Raw genomic sequence first — 4,687 nt, 5'->3', positions numbered from 1 at the left:
AACATTCTACCCAACAACTGCATAATATACATTCTGTTAATCAACACATGGAACATTCTCCAAGATAGACCATATAATAGTCCTCAAAACAAGTGTCAGTACATTTAAGAAAATCAAAATTATATCAAGTACTCTCTCAGACCATAGTGGAATGAAATTGGAAATCAATTCCAAAAGGAGCCTTCAAAATCATGCAAATACATGGAAATGAAATAACCTGCTCCTGAATTATCATTGGGTCAATAATAAAATCAAGACAGAAATTTAAAAATTCTCTGAACTGAATGATAGTAGTGACACAACCTATCAAAACCTCTGGGATATAGCAAAAGCAGTGCTAAAAGGAAAGTTCATAGTATTAAATGCCTACATCAAAAAGTCTGAAAGAGCACAAATAAAAAAATCTAAGGTCACACCTCACGGAACTGGAGAAACAAGAACAATCCAAACTTGAGCCCAGCAGAAGAAAAGAAATAACAAAGATCAGAGCAGAGTTAAATGAAATTGAAACAAACAAAAATATAAAAGATGAGTGAAGCAAAAATCTGGTTCTCTGAAACAATAAATAAAATTGATAGACCATTAGCAAGATTAACCAGGAAAAGAAGAGAGAAGATCCAAATAAGCTCAACTGGAAATGAAATGGGAGATATTACAACTGATTCCACAGAAATACAAAATATTATTTAACCACCTTTATGCACATAAACTAGAAAATCTAGAAGAGATGAATAAATTCCTAGAAATATACAACCCTCCTTGATTAAACCAGAAAGATATAGAATCTCTGAACAGACCAATAACAAGCAGTGAGATTGAAATGGCAATAAAAAAACTGCCAACAACAACAACAAAAAATCCAGGACCACAGAGCTTCACAGCTCAATTCTATCAGACATTCAAAGAAGAATTGGTACCAATCCTACTGACATTATTCCAAAAGATAGAGAAAGAGGGAATCCTCCCTAAATCATTCTATAAAGCCAGTATCACCCTAATGACAAAACCAGGAAAGGATATAACAAAAAAAAAAGAAAACTATACATCAATATCCTGATGAATATAGATGCAAAAATCCTAAACAAAATACTAGCAAACTGAATCCAACAGCATATCAAAAAGATAATCCACCATGATCAAGTGGGTTTCATTACCAGGGATGGTTTAACATCCACAAGTCAATAAATGTGATACTCCACATAAAGATAATTAAAAACAAAAATCACATGATCATATTGATAGATGCAGAAAAAGCATTTGATAAAATCTAGCATCCCTTTATGATTAAAACTCTCAGCAAAATTGGCATGAGACGGACATACCTTAAGGTAACACAAGCCATCTATGACAAACCCACAGCTAACATTATACTGAACAAGGAAAAGTTGAAAGCATTTCCCCTGAGAACTGGAATAAGACAATGATGCCCACTTTCATCACTTCTGTTCAACATACTATTAGAAGTACTAGCCAGACAAGAGAAAGAAAAATGGAGCATCCAAATCAGTAAAGAGGACGTCAAACTGTTACTGCTTGCTGATGATAAAATTGTATACGTAGAAAACCCTAAAGACTCATTCAAAAAGCTCCTAGTACTGGTAAACGAATTCAGCAAAGTTGCAGATACAAAATTAATGCACACAAATCAGTAGTTCTGCCATACACCAACAAAGTGACAAAGCTGAGAATCAAATCAATAACTCAACCTCTTTCACATCTGCAAATAAAATAAAATACTTAAGAATGTACCCAACCAAGGATATGAAAAAACTCTACAAGGAAAACTACAAAACACTGCTGAAAGAAATAATAGACAACACAAACAAATGGAAACACATCCCATGCTCATGGATGGGTAGAATCAATATTGTGAAAATGACCATACTGCCAAAAGCAATCTACAAAAGTCAGTGAAATTCCCATCAAAAGACCACCAACATTCTTCATAGAACAAGAAAAAACTATCCTAACATTCATATGGAACCAAACAAGAGCCCACATAGACATAGCAAGACTAAGCAAAAAGAACAAATCTGGAGGCATCACATAAACCAGCTTCAAACTATACTATAAGGCCATAGTCACCAAAACAGCATGGTACTGGTATAAAAATAGGCACATAGACCAATGGAACAGAATAGAGCACCCAGAAATAAAGCCAAATACTTACAGCCAACTGACCTCTAATAAAGCAAAACAAAACAAACAAACAAACAAAAACCCATAAAGTGAGGAAAGGATATCCTATTCAACAAATGTTGCTGGGATAATTGGCAAGACAAGTGTATAAGAATGAAACTGTATCCTCTTCTCTCACCTTATACAAAAATTAACTCAAGATGGATCAAAGACTTAAATCTAAGACCTGAAACCATAAAGATTCTAGAAGATAACATCAGAAAAACCCTTCTAGACATTGGCTTAGGCAAAGACTTCATGACCAAGAACCCAAAAGCAAATGCAACAAAAATAAAGATAAATAGATAAGACTTAATTAAACTAAAAATCCTCCACACACAAAAGAAATAATCAGCAGCGTTAACAGACAACACACAGAGTGGGAGAAAAACCTTCACAATCTATACATCTGATGAAGGACTAATATCAAGAATCTACAAATAACTTAAACAAATCAGCAAGAAAAAAAACAAACAATTCCATCAAAAAGTGGGCTAAGGTCATGAATAGATAGTTCTCCAAAGGAGATAAACAAATGGCCAAAAAACATATGGAAAAATGCCCAACATCACTAATTATCAGGGAAGTGCAAATCCAAACCACAATGTGATACCACTTCACTCCTGCAAGAATGGCCATAATCAATAAATTCAAAAATAACCTGTGTTGGTATGAATGCAGTAAAAAAGGAACACTTCTACACTGCTGGTTGGAATATAAACTAGTACAACCACTATGGAAACCAGTGTGGAGATTTTTAAAGAACTAAAAGTAGATCTACCATTTGATCCAGCAATCCCACTACTGGGTATCTACCCAGAGGAAAAGAAGTCATTATATGAAAAAGATACTTGCACACACATGTTTATAGCAGCACAATTTGCAATTGCAAAAATATGGAACAAGCCCAAATGCCCATCAATCAACAAGTGGATAAAGAAAATATTATATACATGTATGTGTGTGTATATACATATCTTTATCTCTATCTATATATATGGAATATGACTCAGCCATAAAAAGGAATGAAATAATGGCATTCACAGCAACCTGATGGAGTTGGAGACTATTATTCTAAGTGAAGTAAATCAGGAATGGAAAACCAAACGTTGTATATTCTCACTCATACGTGGGAGCTAAGCTTTGAGGACACAAATGTATAAGAGTGATACACTGGGCTTTGCAGACTCAGGAGAAAGGGTAAGGGATGGCGAAGGGTAAAAGACTACACATGGGGTACAGTGAACACTGCTTGCGTGATGGGTGCACCAAAGTCTCACAGATCACCACTAAATAACTTATTCCTGTAACCAAACACCACCTGTTCCCAAAAAACCTATAGAAACATATATATATACATATATATATATATATATATATATTTTTTTTTTTTTTTTTTTTTGAGACAGAGTCTTGCTCTGTCACCCAGGCTGGAGTACAGTGGTGCGATCTCGGCTCACTGCAAGCTCCGCCTTCTGGGTTCACGCCATTCTCCTGCCTCAGCCTCCCGAGTAGCTGGGACTACAGGGACCCGCCACCACGCCCAGCTAATTTTTTGTTTTTGTATTTTTAGTAGAGACGGGGTTTCACCATGTTAGCCAGGATTGTCTCGATCTCCTGACCTCGTGATCTGCCTGCCTCGGCCTCCCAAAGTGCTGGGATTATAGATGTGAGCCACTGTGCCTGGCCGAAATACATTTTTTTAAAAGAAAAGGTTAAAGAAAAGATTTGTGATGAGGTGTGTAGGGGGAGATGATGAATGAATGCATGATGAATCTGGGGATCCCACAGTACAGCCAAGTGATAACATCAACAAATGGTTTGTTATGTTGTTGGAGAAATCAGAATAGAGATCTGAGATAGAGATACAGAATTGCACATCATCAGAGTGTAGGGAAAGTCACAGGCCTAGATAAGGTCACCTAAGGACAGAGTGTAAAGCGGGAAAAGACAACTGAGGAAAGAACCTATCCCATATTTATAGATTAAGTGGAGGAAGAAATGTCTATAATGTTGACTGGAAAGACTGCAACAATCAAAAGGAAAGACAGAAGAAAAATGTCAAGGAAGATAAGACAAGAGTATTCAATTACACAGACATGCTCAATGAAACCAGGACTGAGTTGTTGATGGGGCTGCGTGGTTCAGAAGTCATAAGCTTCATGCAGTGGAGGAGATAGAAGGCCGGTTGCAAGGGAGTGAAGAGTTATTAGGCAGTGGGGAAGTGAACCAAAGGCTGGGAAAAAAATATCAATAAACCTGTAAGAAAAATAAGGATAAAACAATAGATGGAGGAGACATAAGATCAAAAGAAGTTTGATCATTTTTAAGAATTATTATTTTGATTTTGTAAGACAAGAGAAACTAGAGCATGTTTATAAGTAAAAGGAAGGAATCAGTAGAAAAGAAAATACAAAAGTTGCAGAAGAGAGAAAGAAGAAATGATAGAGCAAGGTAGAGCTGTTAAGAAGATCCAGAACACAAAGGTGAAATGATTATCTCCGAGGAA

At 36.0% G+C, this 4,687-nt stretch overlaps 1 annotated feature.

Moving 5' to 3' along the window:
• Positions 4,192-4,392: a silencer, noted in NCBI's record as "peak5848 fragment used in MPRA reporter construct". NCBI's record gives its function as "represses an SCP1 promoter by STARR-seq MPRAs in K562 erythroleukemia cells {active_cell/tissue: K562}" and the evidence as "EXISTENCE:reporter gene assay evidence [ECO:0000049][PMID:32103011]".

Source organism: Homo sapiens, chromosome 6, assembly GCF_000001405.40.
Source record: "Homo sapiens chromosome 6, GRCh38.p14 Primary Assembly".
NCBI classification, from domain to species: domain Eukaryota; kingdom Metazoa; phylum Chordata; class Mammalia; order Primates; family Hominidae; genus Homo; species Homo sapiens.
Note: the sequence above shows the minus strand (reverse complement) of the source record. Positions and strands in the feature narration are given on the sequence as shown.